The sequence below is a fragment of the Homo sapiens genome, chromosome 6 (assembly GCF_000001405.40).
Source record: "Homo sapiens chromosome 6, GRCh38.p14 Primary Assembly".
Classification (NCBI taxonomy): Eukaryota; Metazoa; Chordata; class Mammalia; order Primates; family Hominidae; genus Homo; species Homo sapiens.
The window spans coordinates 79692464-79711103 of record NC_000006.12 but is presented as its reverse complement, the minus strand read 5'-3'; the positions used below and the strand labels follow the sequence as shown (position 1 = coordinate 79711103).

Below are 18640 nucleotides of genomic sequence, written 5' to 3'. Positions count from 1 at the left end.
GAAATTAAAGAGAAATTCTAGGGCTGGGCTAAGACCAAAGCTCTAAAAACAGATTTGTGTATATCACCAGAATAACTGATTACATGAAAAGTCATTTTTATAAGCAGTAAGTATGCACTTCAGCACCATGCTTTTTCCTTTAAATTAAATTTCAACAGCTTTGTGGAACCGAGTATAGACCCACAAAGTAAGGATGGCCAGAAGCCCATGTTATATTCCCAACCTTGCATCCTCCTGTCAGTTATATCTCTTATAAGCCACTCATTAGCTTGGTTAATAACTGAGTTGCTAGCTTCCCACAATGAAGTTTTGGATACTTGATAGCAAGGCATCAGTATTTCCTGTAATGCAAATTTTCACTTAAATTACCTACACTTCACAAAACACTGAAACCTTTTGCTGTTAATGAACATGGCTAATTCCAGATGAAAAGTCACTAAGAGAATTCTTTTACAGAATCCTTTTATGACATGTACCAGTTTCCAGTTTATTGCATCTTAACTCCAAATTCATGCTTCAATACCTGTTCTGTGATCATGGACAGAAATCCTTTAAAATTTTCTTCTTCACATTGAGCACAATGTTAAGCCTTTGTGGTGGAGCGTGCTGAAGGGATATTGCAGGAGGGAGGAGACTGTCTTGCAGTGTCTGGTTGCTGCATGGTATGACAGCAGTGCAGGTAGCTCTGCCCCAGCTCAGCGGCCCAAAACACGTGGCCTCTCAGGGCAGGTGCAGCTCTGGTCTGGCCTGGTGATAACCTCACACAGCCCTCTTGATGTGAACACCATGTACTCCAGACCTCCTGTCTTCACTGGTGCCCCTTCTCTCTGCAAGCCTGGCCACTGGCTGAGGCTCACCTGGCCCCAGCTTGCACTCTAGAGGGTTGCTTCCTGCTTGCCCAGTGAACTTCTCTACCATCCTGTGGACTGCAAATACAACTTTACAAGGAGTCTGAAGCCCAGCATTCCTTCCAAGTCTGTCCTTCCTTGGATAGTCTCCCTTACCCCTAAGAAAAAATACAGAGTTTTCTTATATCTGATAGTCAGTCTTTTATTAGAGTTCAGCATTTCTTTATATTTAACTTCCCCTGTTTAAATCACAGTGTGATGTTTATCTCCTAATTGGTCTTAGACTGACAAAAAATATTTCAAACTTTCTAACTGGTAATTGTCAGCAGAAAAGATGACAGGAATCAAAGTTCTAGTGATACAGTAAGAAAAAAACTAGACTTTTCAGTACATGGGCATGTATTTATCAGATAAACACATACTAATAAACCATGTATTTCATTTGACTGTAGAGTCAGTTTTTATATGCAAATTTATTGCATACAAGTTTAAAAAAGGACATACAAGTAATTGCTCTCTTTGGGTTACATAACTGATATGGTCTGGCTCTATGTCCCCACCCAAATCTCATCTTGAATTATAATCCCACATGTTGGGGGAGGGAGCTTGTGGGAGGTGATTAAATCATTGGGGTGGTTCTCCATGCTGTTCTCCTGTTAGAGTGAGTCTCGCAAGATCTGATGGTTTTATAAGTGTCTGATATTTCCCCTGCTGGCACTTCTCTCTCCTGTCACCATGTGAAGGACATATTTGCTTCCCCTTCTGCCATGATCATAAGATTCCTGAGGCCACCCCAGCTATGCAGAACTGTGAGTCTTTCCTTTATAAATTACCATCTCAGGTATTTCTTCATAGCAGCGTGAAAACGAATGAATACAAAAGCTGACCCAAATTAAATAGCACAAAATAAAAAACACCAAAAAAAGCAGCTCCTGAGATACTAAACAGTGAACATTTATGCTCACAGGTAAGTTACAGAGCACTACACTTCCTTCAACAATATAATGCAAGCAAGTATAATACTCAGTATCAACATACTGCACAAAATTGTCTTAATACAAGATAAGAGATAATGGATTTGTTTTTTATAACAACATATTTGGGTTTAAACTGGTGACTGGTGATTATGCCCTTACTGAAATAAGAGAAGGTTTATTTTCTCCTTTCTCAGATGTTCATCAGGTAAAAGACACAAACCAAAGTACAAAGAAAAAAAATTACTTGTTAGCACAAAATTCTCAGGCTTTGGCTGACAGCTTATTTGTTAATGCAAAGGATGCTATTTCAATCAGAAAAATATTGGAATTAAATTATAAGGTACTGAAAAATATCAGCAATAAAAGGGCCATTTGCATCAGGGAGACTAATAAGCAGTTTGCAGTCATGGTGAAAACATTGTGGAAATCAGGTCTTCATCAACACTTAAAATTCGCTTTCTAAAATGTGGCATTTCAGGGAGACAGCTGTCTTTTCAGGTAGACACCACCACCACCTAAATTCCTTTAGCATCAACTTGTCATTTTGCCTGCATCTATCTGATTCCAGCAGTATCTTGCCCATCCACACTGCAGATTTCACTGGTTACATGTTTTGGAGTTTGGGTAAAGTTACCTCTAGAGAACTGGGTCACTCTGGAATGTTTTCACTTAGAGGCAGCCTAGTGCCCTCAATGGGTCAATGATAGGGCAGGGCTTTCCTGCTGCAGTTGTTCAGAAGCCATCCACAAGTCCGAACGCTGGAGTCATTTTAACCTACTAAATATGTAACTGCTAAAATTCTGTTTGCACTGACCCCTTATGACTAGGATGGAAAAACTGTCATTATTCAGCTCCTCATCTACAATTAGGATACAGCATAATAATAAACATTTACTAGGTATGTAAAACGGTACAGTGAGGGAGGCTGCAGTTGGAGTTATTCCTTCTGGTGCCTAGTCTGGGAAGTGAAAATATTGCTGTTGTCATCACTTTTGTTAGCCATACCAGTTGGTTAGGACATGGCTAGGAGCAGATTATTTAAGAGTGGTTCACCACTCAAGACAGGAAAGGAGGGAGAAAAGGATTCCTCTGGGCTAGGGTCACAAAGTCCATGCCAAATTGCTGGTCTTGTAGCCCAGCTATTGATCTCAGAGTTGGTCTTGGAGCCAAGCTCTGGGCTGTCTCAGGGCCCAGAATCCGTATTTCAACCTAGTGATGTTATTAGTACATGACCTGAAATAGGCAGGGAAGAAAATAAAAGAGAATGTAAACAAATGGGATAATCATATCAATAGACTAAATCAAATTATCATGAACAATGTTTGTCTGTATTTATCTGAGACAAGATAAATACAGGCAAACCCAAAAGCTAAATCTCCAAAAGCTAAATCTCACACAGGTGTGTGTAGTAATTCATTAGAATGACAAAGGATGAGACCCAAAGCAACACGTGAAGTAGCTACACCACACAGAGATGGCTGGCATCTCCTGGGCTTGCAAGGGTATAACACAATCACTCTTATTTCAGGAAAGGATCCCAAACAAAATTATGCAAAAAAATTCCTCCACTTAATGAGTGCTGTTACCATCAATTATAATGAAAAAATAATACTGGTTTTCCCCCCAGAATTACTATGCTAAGAGAATAGCAAAAAGAAATGGTTAAAAAGCCTGGGCAGGACAGGCGCAGTGGCTCATGTCTGTAATCCTAGCACTTGGGAGGCTGAGGCCGGCAGATCACCTGAGGTCCAGAGTTCGAGACCAGCCTGGCCAACATGACAAAATCCTGTCTTTACTTAAAAAAAACAAAAAACAAAAAACAAAAATTAGCTGGGCATGGTGGGGCACACCTGTAATCCCAGCTACTTGGAAGGCTGAGACATGAGAATTGCTTGGACTTGGGAGGCAGAAGCTGCAGTGAGCCAAGATTGTGCCACCACACTCCAGCCTGGGCAACAGAGTGCGACTGTCTTAAAAAAAAAAAAAAAAAAAAAAAAGCTTGAGCAGGGAAAGGAAGAATTTTCCCTTAATAATTACATGTTCTGTTTTTAATTTTTGGCAATAATGCCCAAAGGAACCTTTTTTTTTTTTTTTTTTTTCTGAGACAGAGTCTTGCTCTGTTGCCCAGGCTGGAGTGTGGTGGCGTGATCTCAGCTCACTGCAACTTCCGCCTCCTGGGTTCAAGCAAGTCTCCTGTCTCAGCCTCCAAAATAGCTGGGATTACAGGTGTGCATCACCATGCCCGGCTATTTTTTGTATTTTTAGTAGAGACGGGATTTCACCGTGTTGACCAGGCTGATCTCCAACTCCTGACATCAGGTGATCCGCCTGTCTCGGCCTCCTAAAGTGCTGGGATTACAGGCATAAGCCACCACACCCAGCCCAGAATGAAACTTTTAAAAGACAAATTATCCACATATTCTTCTTTTTTTTTTTTTTCTTGTAAGACAGGGTCTTGCTCCATTGTCCCAGCTGGAGTACCATAGCGTGATCATGGCTCACTACAGCCTCAAACATCTGGGCTAAAGGAATCCTTCTGCCTCAGCCTCCCTAGGAGCCTCGTGACTACAGGTGTGTGCCACCATACCTGGCTAACATTTTTATTGTTTGTAGAGAAGGGATCTTGCTGTGTTGCCCAGGCTGGTCTTGGATTCCTGGCCTTAAGCAACCCTCCCACCTCGGCCTCCTAAAACACTAGGATTAACAGGTATGAGTCACTGCACCTAGCCAGATTATTCATATATTCTTACAAGCTCAACTGAGTTTTATAGATACAAAGAATTAACATTTTAGAAAATTTAGGACTAAACCCTATTAATAGTCATCACTGTTCTGCAGATTGTAGATGGTATCCATGTGGTTCATTAAGTTCCCATTTTTAAAAAAAGGAAAAAAATATACAAATGCCACCATGATTTAATTCAGAGATATAGACCAATTCAACAGGAAACATCAACTTTATAAGATGACAGAGTAACAAGAAACTGGACACAGAGACATTGCAGTTGCATTAGTATTGATAAGCTATAGTGTTGGTGTGTATACACACACAGAGAGAGACAGGAATAGTACTCAGCCTTAAAAAAGGAGATCGTGTTGCCACAACATGGATAAACTGGAAAAAAAAAAAAGGTCAAATATAGAGAGAATAAAGCAGTGGTTACTAAGTCTGGGTTGGGGGGCAAGGTGGAAAAATGTAGGTCAGAGGATATAAAGTAGCAAATATGTAGGATAAACAAGCCTAAAGATCCAAAGGCACAGTATTAGGCCTGTAGTTAATAGCATATTCTATTCAGGATTTTTGCTAAAAGCGTAGATTATACCTGCTCTTGCCACAAGGAGCGAAAATGGGTAACTATGTGAGATGATTGATATATTAATTTGTTCCACGATAGTAACCATTTTACTACAAATATGTTTCTTATAACATCATGTGGTATGCCTTAAATATACACAATAAAATTTATTTTTAAAAATACAAACATGCCACTATGAATTAGTTCACAGAAACCAATTCAACAGGAGACTGAGTTTATACGATGATTCAGTAACAACAGACTGGGCACACGAAGAGATGTCACATATTATGAGAACATACAAACATTATTCTGTTTTTCCAGGAAAAAAAAATAACCTTCTCTTTCACTACAAAAAGTGCTTCAACCTAGAGGAACAAAAAAGCAAAATGAGAAAAATATTTATCTTGGCAGCAGTATTAGAAAATTATGTTCCTGAAGATATTCACATTTCCTTTCAGTATTACAAAGGAAAGAAGGTGACATTTTGCCAAAACCCAAAAAGCCTTTTAAAGGTATTAATTTCTCTATTGTAAATTCAGGTAAAGAGGTTTGTACAGAACAGTATTGTCCAGTGGAAACATAATACAAGCCATATATGTAATTTTAAATTTTCTAGTGGCCACCTTAACAAAAAGGAAAAATAAATTTTAATACTTAATTTAACCCAATATATCTAAAATATTATTTCAATATATAACCAATATAAAAATTATTAATGAGATATTTTACATTCTTCCTTTCACACTAAGTCTTCAAAATCTGGAATATATTTACATTCACATCACAAAGTCAACTAGGCACAATTCAAGTGCTCAACAGCTATATAGGGTTTGTTGGTACCACACTGGATAGCACTGTTCTAAACTACAGAGCTTTCGTTTCTATAACATTAGTATGATAGATTCTTGTCCTAGAGCTTTTTTAGTGGAAAGTTTCGTTATAATGAATTTTATTATTATAGGGCCAAAAATGATGTATATTACAACAGTGTGGAGCGCTATTTTACAAAAAGGTCTAAATCTTTGTCCTATTCATTGTACACCAAGTTTTCAGTTAATATGCTTTCAAATACCAGGGTCCTCAGTCTATCAAAAATGTCATGCCCTCAGTTACCAGGGGCCCAGAAGATACAACTGCATTCTAGTTTCTTGTTCTTCTACCTGCCAGTTGGCTTACACATAGGAACATGCTGCCACCACAATACACTGGGTCATATTCAGCATGATGCTGATCTACCTCACTCAGCTTAAGGATTATTTAATTGGGTATGGGTTCAATACAATCTCCTATTACTTAAAGAAGTAATTTTTTAATGTGCATTTACGTGTAACATCATTTTGGCCTATTGCCCTAGGCCCATTATATGGTGACATACTAAGAAGATGTGCATATATAAACATCCAGTCTATATAAAGGTTTCTTGTTGGTGAAATTCTGTAGCAGAAAACTAGATTATAACATTAATAAAATTAATTTATTACTAAATAACTTCAACTGATGAGCTTTAAAATGGAGTCAAAGAAGACACCCTTCTAGAGCCCAGAGGAGCTCCCGAAGTCAACTGTTGGCTGATATGCTGACAAGGTAAAAAATAGCACACAAGAAAAAAATATATATATGTATTTAACTTTATTTTCTCCAAATAGAATAAAGATTCACATGCTTAGCATATTTCTGGAAATGGCCTCAGAAAAGTTTTCTACTCTAAATCTGGTTTCTCTTCACTTTAATGATTAAATAAATGTCGACCAATTAAATATTAAATATAAAGAAACTTTAAAAATTAATCATTAAAACACAACTCAATAGGAAGAAAGGCAAAAGACATGAAGAGGGATTGCCAAGAAAAAGAAACAAGAATTCCCATAATAAAACATGTTCAACTTACTAATAATCAAAAATTTACAAAATGAAACCACAATGAGGTAACATTTTATACTCCCCAGCTTGGCAAAAATGCAACTCTGACAATCTCAAACATTGGCAAAGATTTAGAGTCCTGCAAATTCTAGTATACTGGTGGGGAGCATAAATTAGTACTCTGGAAAGCAATTTGGCCTTATCTATTAAAACTGATGATGTGCTTTTATTGTATAAACCAGCAATTCTATTCAAGGTATACATCCATTCTTCAGTATGTACACCAGAAGTCACATAAAAGAATATTCAGAGCAACATTACCTTTTTCTATTTCAAACAAAGATGCAGTTCAATAAGCACCAGCTGGAGAAGAGAACATGTGATATATTCATAATGGAATAATATTTAGCAGTGAAAAAACTCCGATGGCAATGAACATAAAAAGGAGGTGACAGAAGAATACATTCAGTTTAATTCCATTTATTATTCTTTAAGGATACATACATGGAGATAAAGTGATGAAAGACAAGAAGGCTATGGTCAACACAAAGTTCAGTACAGGGGTTCCCTCTATCAGACAGGGATAGAGATAGGTTCAGGAAACCGCACACGGTACCTCAAAGGAAAGGCAATAAGGTGGGTGGTAGGCACACAGGGGTTTGTTTATTGTCATTATTATTACTCTTTATACTTTAGCATATATATTATATGTGTATATACATATCTATATTCCATTGCATGTATGAAATTTTTTAAAAATTCAAATGGCTTATAACAAAAACAAATTATGTATAATGTCTCAAATGGTGAATCACAGCCTGGAGGCTCTTAATTTACCTCCACTCTATCATTGAACCCTGGCTAAAACTGCTGCTTTGTTTCTATTCCCCTCATACTTGAGAGTAGAGATATTGCCCTGCTCTGACAACACTTACCACATTTTAGGGGCTTGATCCATGCTGACAGAAAGGATGAACAAACAAACCTGACATGTATTTCTAGAAGAACTAGGAAAACTCTGAAGATTTGAATCACAAGTAGGCAGTGATCATTTTGGTTTCACACATTTCTGCAAACCTACAGCTCGTTCCCTCTGATCACTTCCTCCACCCTCCTTCTGTTCTGGTGCGTAGGGCTTGAAATCGTTCAGTGCTGAGATCAACCTCAAACAATGCCTTCAGAAATACTGTTTTCTTCTGCTTTCTGATGTGGCTGCTACAAAGGTAATAGGGGCCGCAGCCACTCTGCCCTTGTCTTCTGCACCCAATTCAGAGAACATGGCCACCAGCCTGTGGCTTCAGTGTACTCAGGAGATCAGTCATCCATTTGAACCACCCCACCCCACCCAGGGGCTGAGTGATTTAACTCCATCCTCAGTCCTGATCACTGTCTGAGATGAATCTGTGGTGTCCTCCCAACACCCTCGTGCAGGACCTCATGTCTGGCTCCTTGAATGATCACACGATCTGTTTGTATTTTTACAATTTAATGTGCTGCTTTCATGCATGAGGTTCACAGGCAAGAGTAAAATCACAGCCTCTCAACTAAACAGAACTAAAATTAAGAGAGGTGTGAAAAATGGCAGGGAACAAACACTCCATTTTCAGAATATGTGTTTTCTGGAATTTATTCTCCTTTATGCTGAATATAAAATATGTGATTTCACCAATGCTTTAAGAGACAAACACATACAAGTTGAAATCTGAAAACAATAATTATATGGAGCAAAGTGCAGCCTGACACTTAACAAAAGCTGTTAAATGAAAAGTATCTCTAGAAAAAGCAAAACCCCTATAGTAAAATCAAACACAACAGAAAGAAGCTTTGGTACTTTTCAATAACGGGAGACAAAAAAAAGTTTAGTTTATTATTAAATTCATGTAATATAAAAACATCTATGTGGAGGTATTGAATTAAATCTATAAAACAGAAACAAATCTAGAATATATTAGAATCTGAGGTGAAAAAATACCTTGCTTTCCTCTTCTTTGATTGTAATAAAACACCGGAATTTGGAAAAACAAGTATTTTCCCAACTAAATTTTCTTCTGGTCTGTACTCACCTAGCAGGATGGCACTCCATATTTTATCTAATTTTAAAATGGCATAAGTTGATTTTTAGCAGCACATTTCCTTTGCTCCAGCAAGCCTACTACAGGAAATAAAAATTCTGTCTTGAAATGCCCTTGATATGAAATCTATGCCTACAATTCCCATCCACTTCTTTCCTAGTATTTTAAGACTGTGATTATCAAAATCTAAAGGCAGCTAGTTAAAGAAGGGAACAAGAAAATCATTATTATATGTTTCAAAATCAGCTGATAAAAGAATACAAGTAAGGACCCCATATTCTCTGAGCTAAGTGTGGTCCCAGAGGGCAACATCTTGGTACTCTGTGGAGCCTGGGTACCATGTAAATGCCACACACTGTGCTGCTGCCTCACTCATAACAAGTACAGCACCACTCGAGACTGGTCTCCTGTATTTCTTTGCTGATCAAAAAAAAAAAAAAAAAAATGGGGTGGGGAGATGGCACATAACTGTGATGGTAATTTAGCATTACTACCCACTAGTCTGTTTACTATAATCATAATAGGTATACTACGGTTAACTCAAAAATTATAATATAAGACAAATCTGGGTAGCTTTGTCTAGCAAGTATGGTATTGATCCTATAACCCCAGCAGTTAACTTGCAAAGCCTCAACCTTACCAAGTTGGTTCTTGGCACTCACTAGCAAGAGTAGACTAAATGTTAGCTGAGTAATGAATTACAACATGACAATTTTTACAACTGCTTAAAAAGAAATTCTGAGTTTTATCAGAAGACTCACATACTCAAACACAATATCCAGTTAAAAAAAAATTCCTGGATAGTCCCTGGGATTTGTCAAATGGAATTTGACCTGGATCTTACTTAATGACAACTAACCAGTAATATCCATAATTTGACAACAGCTTCCCTTGAAGAGAAAATTGTGGATCATGTGTCCATTCTAGTTAAGTAGAAATCTGTCATACTTTCCTTCTGGTTGTAATCCTGGACTACAAATCTCAGGTTGGGATTTCAGCCTTAGCATTCAACAAGTTCTTTAGTCTACATTTAGCAAGGCATGGGGCGGAGTGCTGGGCACATGTGACAGGGCTGTAATTCTTCTGCTCTTTCAATTTCTTATAAATTTCCTGCTCAGAATTATAATGAAAAGTCCAGAATCAGGATGCTAGAAATAAAATATTTTAGGCAGCCCTCTGAAAATTTATCCTATTCAAGGCTGTTCCCATGTTTGGCAATTTAAAACTCTAAGTTAAAAAAAAAATTAAGCATCCCTGTTATAGGGACAAGAATGCAGAAAAATAGCCTCTGCTCTAATGAAGTAGATATGTTCGATGTTCATCAGCATCCACTCCAATAGGAGTATAGATTTTGCTTGACAAGTACAATTCCGGGTTACTCTCTTTCTCATGTGTGTTGCTCTGAAACCTTACTTGTGCTCATATACGGAATGAGAACAAGTATCTGTATTACTCTGAAAAATATGAGGCTGTACATTGGCCAGAAATATGAGCAAGCAAAATTAGAGGCAAATGAAAAGTAACAAAAGGAAAAATTAAATTTTACTACAACATTGGTATATTTTAATATGTCTAATCAAGGGTTCACAAAATATATCTAACTGAGATTTTCCTTTCTCAAAAAATATAGTCCCTTCACAAAATAGAAGCAGCAGCTGTCTGTTAGGGGAGCTGGATTAAAAAATATATGAACTTATATATTATAAATAAATTGCTAGAGCTGAAAATGCCTTCAGATACTCGTCAGATAATTTTCCTATATATTCACTAATTAGTGCACCACTTAAAATATATCTTTCAAGCAGTCTCAGGCATTTGGGTGAAACTTGCCCCTTGCAAGAAATAAAGAAGCATATATTTCAAATAGCAATTATTGTCATCCCAGTAACTTAGTTCTGATCACTTGATGTTACAACAGGGATTTCTGGAAACATCTGTAGGATAATATGTGGAGGTAAGAGTTTCCATTACTAAAACAAGTCTAGAATATCTAACTTTTTCACCAGGTGTTATTACAAAGCATGGGAACTGTGATGTTTGTAACTGATTCTGCAGCAAAAATCTTCAACACCCTTTGTCAACCAGCGCTGCTTTTTTTCCTTCTGATTCAAAGATTCTAACAACTTGGCAGACATATTTCAAAGGTGCAATCCAGGCAGCTTAAAGAGAAGTGGGTTTACGCAATTCCGGCATCTACTATAACCTAGGGCAGATCCAACATTTTCTCTCTGACGGTGCTACCCACTTATCTTTCAGTCATTAAGAAAGTACACCTGTAACAGGTGACGGTATTTCCAGGTGAGTGAGGCAACTGCAGGCAAATAGAATAAGAAAAAAAAAATCCACCACCTGATTTGGTTTAAAGCAATCATGCAATTCTCATTATAGCCACATCTTTCAAAAACACCTTTTCCGTGGCAAGCAAAGTTACTGATAATGCGTGTGGCTTTTGTCACAGTGATGCATTAGGTAAGCATGTGTGTGCTGAGTACCAGGGGTGCTTCAAAATGCATCTCCGTCATCTTCCACTCTTCTTCTCTAAGGTTCTGCCTATAAAAAAAAAAAAAAAAAAAAAAAAAAAAAAGTCAGTTATTGCATTACATCGACAAGAAAATTCACCCTTGGCAGGGGTTTTTTAAATGTCAGGAACAGAGATGTTGGAAATCATAACAGATCACCTCCATGTGATTGATAAGAGAAAATCCTGGGTTTCAGCATCAGAGCCCAGATTTAAATCACACCCACCCGACCTGCCAAATATAAAAGTGGAAAGAAAGCCGCATGTTTTCAATGACCTACTGAGATTCCTCTCAGAGGTACTGTTCCACTTGTGTATGGCTGGGTGGGGGGTTACCTTGCTCAGAGGGCCTGCAGAGATGCCCATTAATAGCAACCCAAGATGAAGAACCACTCTAGAACGACCATATCTGTTAGTAAAGAGTCGCTGCCCCAGTCCCCCAACTGCCACCCCTGCGCACCCTCCCCCTTGAGCCAATGGATAAAGAGCTGACATCTGGCACAGGGGGCCTCTGTGGCCTGCTCAAGCTCTGGCCAGTCAGCACCCAGTGTTGACCGGTTGTTACCTACTTTGGATATTACCCCTGAAAGCTAGGGATCTGAAAGTACAATCTTCTATGACAGGCCCTTCTTGGGGTCTACTAAATTTTAACTTTGATGGTTTTCTACCTAAAAAGTATCGGTGAAATGGCCTCCCTTTCTCAGAATTAGTTGGCTATCACAATGGGCCAGCCACTGTGGGCTCCAGCCAACTACAAGGGAAACTGAGATCCCCCCACCACCCCCACCAGGGATTCCATACCATCTAATATTTACATACTTTAAAAAACCTCTTCACAGGACAAACAACATATCCAGGGCCAATGTGGCCTGCAGGCCACCATCTAGAGACCTCTAACCTACCTTTGCCCCTCCCACTATGGAGGGCAGCCCAGTCAGAGCCTACACTGCACCTGGGCCTGTTGGGCCCATGAATGTCCTCTCCTACCAAGTAAGAGCAATTATAGGTGCTAATGATGTCTTTATGTTTCCTGATAGGCTTTGTTGCCATGTTTTTTATGTGTGTATACTACACAGGGAGTAGGAAAGGAAAAGAGAAAACAGGGCTTTCATCTTTTAGTACATTAAACCTGTGAACACTCTGTCAAAGCCTTAGACTATAGACTGTATGATGAATCACTACCAAGGTAAAAAATAGAAGATTAGAAGAGAGAAAATGCTAAATTGTTCTTGAAGACATTTTCACTTCTCTCATACGACGATGAAGTATGAGTTACTATTAGCTTTTAAAGCCCTAAATGGTTCATGGAGAGTGGCACAGACCTTGTGCTATGGACATCTGCTCTGGTCCCAGATACTCCTGTCCAGGTATAACTGATTTAGGTCCCTGAAAACGGTGGGCTGAATGGGGGCAGTGTCCAGGGCCCTCACTACCTTTAGGATGGTCCCCTGAAATCAAGTTAACTTCAGTGACACCAAGATCAACTTTAATACTGTGGCCAAAAGCCATGTGAGAATGTATATTTCATAGACCATAGATTTCCTGAGAAACTGGTGAGAAAATACATTTCTTTGAAGAATAAAGAAGTCAGCCCACAGTCTCTAAAGAATTTACATATTTGGGGAAAATGGGAACAAGCAGTATTTTTTAAAAGGTTTTTGCATAGACAATGATGCCCGCTGGATTTATGTATCCATTAGACTACTCCATCCTAGTTTTTTCCAGTTCTTTGAAGATAAATCTGGACTTTTAATATCTCTGGATGAAATACGTTATAAAAATACTCTAATTTTCCTAACAAGTATTCAAATGTTCCATCTTTATAAAAGCAGTTTTAAGAACCTTTAAATACGGCATGCGTGGGTTTTGCCTCTGCTTAAAACATGTGCATGGAAACCACCCACAACCATCTGTGGACTAACTGATGTAAAAACAAAGCACGATTTCACATTGGCTATGCACTGCAGATGCTGGTCTATAATTTATGTTATTGAGGGTCCCTGCCTTCTTCCTACAGGTATGCCAGAGATGGTACAAATCCTGGGTAGCCTCAAAAGACCTACTATTTTAAGACATCAAAGTTCTAGGAAATGTACTTTTATTTCGGTTGTGTTAAAAATAGACATATTAGAATTCAGTCTCAATTTGAAACACTCAAAACTTCAATTACTATGTATACAAAGACTGCAAGGAAACACAAAAAATGTCAATGTGGTTAGCTCTGGGTGGTGATTTTAGTTCTTTGTTTTACCCTTTTTTAATATTTTCCCAATTCAAAAAAAGGAGTCTAGGCTACTTTCATAATCAGAAAGAAAATGTGTGTTTTAAAAAAAGAAATAATATCAAAATAGTACCTTACTTAATAAAGAAATGTTTTTTCTTTTTTGAAAGTGAATCTATAAGCTTAATAAAGTTGTGATAACACACATCATTTCTAGTTCTAAACATGAGAAAATATTGGCTCCTTTATGTTTTCTAAAAGACATATGACTTAATAAAAAGTGGCTTCAAAATATTTTGATTAAAGAATTGAAGATTTTTTTCAAGGTTGACCATTTATTATTATAGACCATCTCTTCTCCAATGAAAGTAAATTTAAAACACCTTTAAATATGACTCTGAGTCTGCTATTTCAAAAAATGTAAAGTAAAAAAATTTGCAATTTTAAACAGAAAGCACCTACTAGTTTTTGCTACCTTAAATTCTTGGAGGAATGGGGTATAAATTAAAAATAAGGTAATATTCTAATTTATAGCAACAACTGAAGAATTGGGGGGAAAAACAAAAAACTAGCCTCTGTTGTATGTTTTAACACTGGGTAGTCTCTAATTATGCATCAGAGGAAGCAAAACCCCCAAATCTAAGAAATTATATATGCATTCCTCTAACACCGTCACTCTACATCTCTAAGAAAAATTCAAAAGAGATGAATTCTAAAACAAGAATAAGAAAAGATTTACCTACCTTTGATGCCAACCGTGGTTTCAGGCCTAAAAATGAAAAGACTGTGTTGCTTTCCTTGGATTCAAAAAAACTGTCATAATCCTAGAAAAAAAGGGAAGCAGAAAATAAACCAACAAAAGCAAACAATTATCTTTATATTTGGTACTTTGAACAAATTCTTTATGGAAGTAAAAAATGTACCATTGCTCTGTCCAGATCAGGGAAAAGCTAAATAAATCTGCTGAATTAGTCTGCTTGCACGTAAAAATTTATTTTAGTATGATGAAGAATGTAACAAGTTTTTAACCCAAAACCTATGACAAGATTAAAATGTAAAACATTTGGTGACAGAAATGAAATAGGAACACACTCCTTTTCCTTTGTGGGCCAAACTAACATTTGTCTGTGAATCACTCTGACCTAAGATTTTACTCTAGGTTTTCAGTATGGAAGGCTGCCTCCCAATTCCACTCTTGATATTTTGTTATCTAGGGTTTTGAAAAAATCACTGGGTAAACAAAGCTGTAAAGGTCTCCATGTGTCAATGAAAGTGTGTCTTATTCTGCTTCTGAAGTTTTCCACATTCTTTGAGACCATCTCCTTAGAGGGAATAAAAAGATCAAATAAAAACTAAAGGAAACTATATTCTCTATAATATTTACCTTTGCCTCAAACATATAGAATCATTTTTCTCTTCCTACCTTCACAAGAAGGCATCAAGGAATTCTGGTCAATCTGTTCAACTGTTTCTTTTCAAAAGTTTGCATTTATCATATGTAAAGCAGTCTTAAAATTTGGTAATTTGATAACTTTATCCTAAGGATAAATAATGTAAGCAAATGATGATCACAATCATTTTAGGCATTTGCTTTGTGCTAAGTGTCTTATAAATGTTATGTTATTAAATCTTCACCACAGCCTGCCGGGTTAGAGACTGGCTCAAGGCAAAGAAATATGTTGTTCAAGTTTGACAGCTAATAAGTGAGAGAACTGATATTTGGGCTCATGTTTCACTGACCTTGAAATTCACACTTTCTGTACTCTAGGGTGCATCCTGCCCAAAAGGAAACCAAGTATGGGGCACCACGTGTGCTGGAGTCACTGAGCGCTAATGAATCCATTGTTAAGCCAAGCCAACGGCATCTAGACTTGTAGAGATTCGCTTCCTGCAACGCATGCCTTGTCTGATTAAAAAATCTTTGAATTATTTGGTTCTGTGTACAGATCCTCTTCTCCAAAAGCTTTAGCAATTGAGTCTCGTGGTTTGGAAGGCAGTAGCCTCAGGTTTTTCACAGGCTGCTCCTTCTGTCATTTAGGATCAGCTCTAAAGAAAGGCCTTCCTTGACCAAGCCAAGAAGGAGCAACATGTCTGAAAAGAGCGATTTGGCCAAGTCTTCTTTGAAAACTGGCATTTAAGCTTACATCTGAAGGATGAATAGAGTTAGCCAAGTGAAGGACTGGGATGGGAGCATTCTTGGGCAGGGAGCAGCACTAGTGAAGTGTGAAGCTGGCAGGGTGGACAGGGATAAACATATGCTGGGCTTTGTAAACCAAGAAAATGATCTTGAATTTTATCTTAAGTACCAAAAGAAATCATATAAGGGTTTTGAGCAAGGGAGCAAAATGATCTAGTTTCTTTTAAGAAAATACCTAAATAACTGTGCGGAGAATGGCTCAAAAAAAGGGCAGCAAAAAGGAAAGGAGGGGAAAAAGGGGAGTACTTTGGCAATTGCAGTAAGCAATGGTGGCAGCCGAGCTGACGGCAGAGGGCAGCAGACAGGCTGCAGATACATTTTGGGGGTAGAAGTGATCATACTTGGTTGTGGATTTGATGGGGGTGATTAGGGAGAAATAAGAATTAAAGTGGCTCTGAACTTTCTGGCTTGATGAAAAAGACGAGAAAAAACAATCTGAAGGGAAGGTTGGAGTTCAATTTCAACATGTAATATCTGAGAAACTATATGAAACATTGAGTAAAGAAGATATCAGCTGAGCAACTGGAGGTTCCTAATGGCTCTAGGATGTAGAGATTTCATGGAATTTGTACGAAAATTTGTAATTTCTTGTAAGACAAAATATGATCCTAACTATGCCACAAAAACAGGTCAAAGTTTGACATGAAATACAGGCAAAATCTCATGGACTGAAAATGTTACATTCTTTGTAATGAAGCTATTTCCAAAGAGTTGAGTAATAATTCCCTCATGAGAGTTCAATAAATAATTCTGTTCAAAACATACTTTCTCTGCCTGACAATTTGTTGACTATACTGAACGTGGTAAGAGGAGGAAGAGGGCTAAATTACAGCTAGATTTGTTCCATCCTTTAAGATATCAACTGTATGTAACTTAGTATACCTGTTCTCTCTATACCATATTCAGCCTCTACTCAGTCGAAGGTCTTTCCCTGGGGAAGCTCATTCACAGCCATGGCCCTAATTAAAATCACAATCTCTTGCCCTGACCTCTCTTCTGAGCTCTGGTTCCATAAAAGTCACTAACTGTTCACAGACTCTTAAACACAACAGGTCTTAACGACAATTCATGATCTTCCACTCCACAAACTAGACGTCTCAGAAAATGGCACCACTATTTACTGGGCCCTGTAACTCCAAAATCAACACATCACAGGACTCCTTTCTTCCCTCAACCACTAGTTTATATATCCCTTAAGCCTCTCAATTTTTCCACGTTGGTCTCTACCAACCTGATCTAAGCTAGACTTCTGCAACAGCACCCCAACTTATCAACCTTTGTCTAATCTCACTATTTCTACCCCATCATTCTCTCAAAGTGAAGACAGACTGATGTTTATAAAAACAGATTTGATAAACCGAATCCAGCAGTATATCAAAAAGCTTATCCACTATGATCAAGCGGGCTTCATCCCTGGGATGCATGGCTGGTTCAATATATGCAAATCAATAAATGTAATCCAGCATATAAACAGAACCAAAGACAAAAACCACATGATTATCTCAATAGATGCAGAAAAGGCCTTTGACAAAATTCAACAACGCTTCATGCTAAAAACTCTCAATAAATTAGGTATTGATGGGACGTATCTCAAAATAATAAGAGCTATCTATGACAAACCCACAGCCAATATCATACTGAATGGGCAAAAACTGGAAGCATTCCCTTTGAAAACTGGCACAAGACAGGGATGCCCTCTCTCACCACTCCTATTTAACATAGTGTTGGAAGTCCTGGCCAGGGCAATCAGGCAGGAGAAAGAAATAAAGGGTATTCAATTAGGAAAAGAGGAAGTCAAATTGTCCCTGTTTGCAGATGACATGATTGTATATCTAGAAAACCCCATTGTCTCAGCCCAAAATCTCCTTCAGCTGATAAGCAACTTCAGCAAAGTCTCAGGATACAAAACCAACGTACAAAAATCACAAGCATTCCTATACGCCAATAATAGACAAACAGAGAGCCAAATCATGAGTGAACTCCCATTCACAATTGCTTCAAAGAGAATAAAGTACCTAGGAATCCAACTTACAAGGGATGTGAAGGACCTCTTCAAGGAGAACTACAAACCACTGCTCAATGAAATAAAGGAGGATACAAACAAATGGAAGAACATTCCATGCTCATGGGTAGGAAGAATCAATATCGTGAAAATGGCCATACTACCCAAGGTAATTTATAGATTAAATGCCATCCCCATCAAGGTACCAATGACTTTCTTCACAGGATTGGAAAAAACTACTTTAAAGTTCATATGGAACCAAAAAAGAGCCCGCATCGCCAAGTCAATCCTAAGCCAAAAGAACAAAGCCAGAGGCATCATGCTACCTGACTTCAAACTATACTACAAGGCTACAGTAACCAAAACAGCATGGTACTGGTACCAAAACAGAGATATAGATCAGTGGAACAGAACAGAGCTCTCAGAAATAATGCCACATATCTACAACCATCTGATCTTTGACAAACCTGACAAAAACAAGAAATGGGGAAAGGAGTCTCTATTTAATAAATGGTGCTGGGAAAACTGGCTAGCCATATGTAGAAAGCTGAAACTGGATCCCTTCCTTACACCTTATACAAAAATTAATTCAAGATGGATTAAAGACTTAAATGTTAGACCTAGAACCATAAAAACCCTAGAAGAA

The 18640-nt window shown here is 37.9% G+C and overlaps 1 protein-coding gene across 5 annotated transcripts in view; it reads right to left on the bottom strand.

Annotated features, from left to right (window-relative positions):
- Positions 1-7448: 7448 nt before the first annotated feature.
- SH3BGRL2 (SH3 domain binding glutamate rich protein like 2) overlaps positions 7449-18640 on the bottom strand; it is a 166023-nt gene continuing 154831 nt past the window's right edge. For all 5 annotated transcript variants that reach the window (NR_171675.1, XM_047419391.1, XM_047419392.1 and 2 more), the window contains 2 exons: positions 14539-14619; positions 7449-11606 (listed from right to left, as the gene is read on the bottom strand). Coding sequence is in view for 4 of the 5 variants with exons in the window: in XM_047419391.1 (XP_047275347.1) it covers positions 11595-11606; positions 14539-14619 (93 nt within the window). In the remaining variant the exon portion in view is untranslated. The remainder of the gene's footprint in view (positions 11607-14538; positions 14620-18640) is intronic.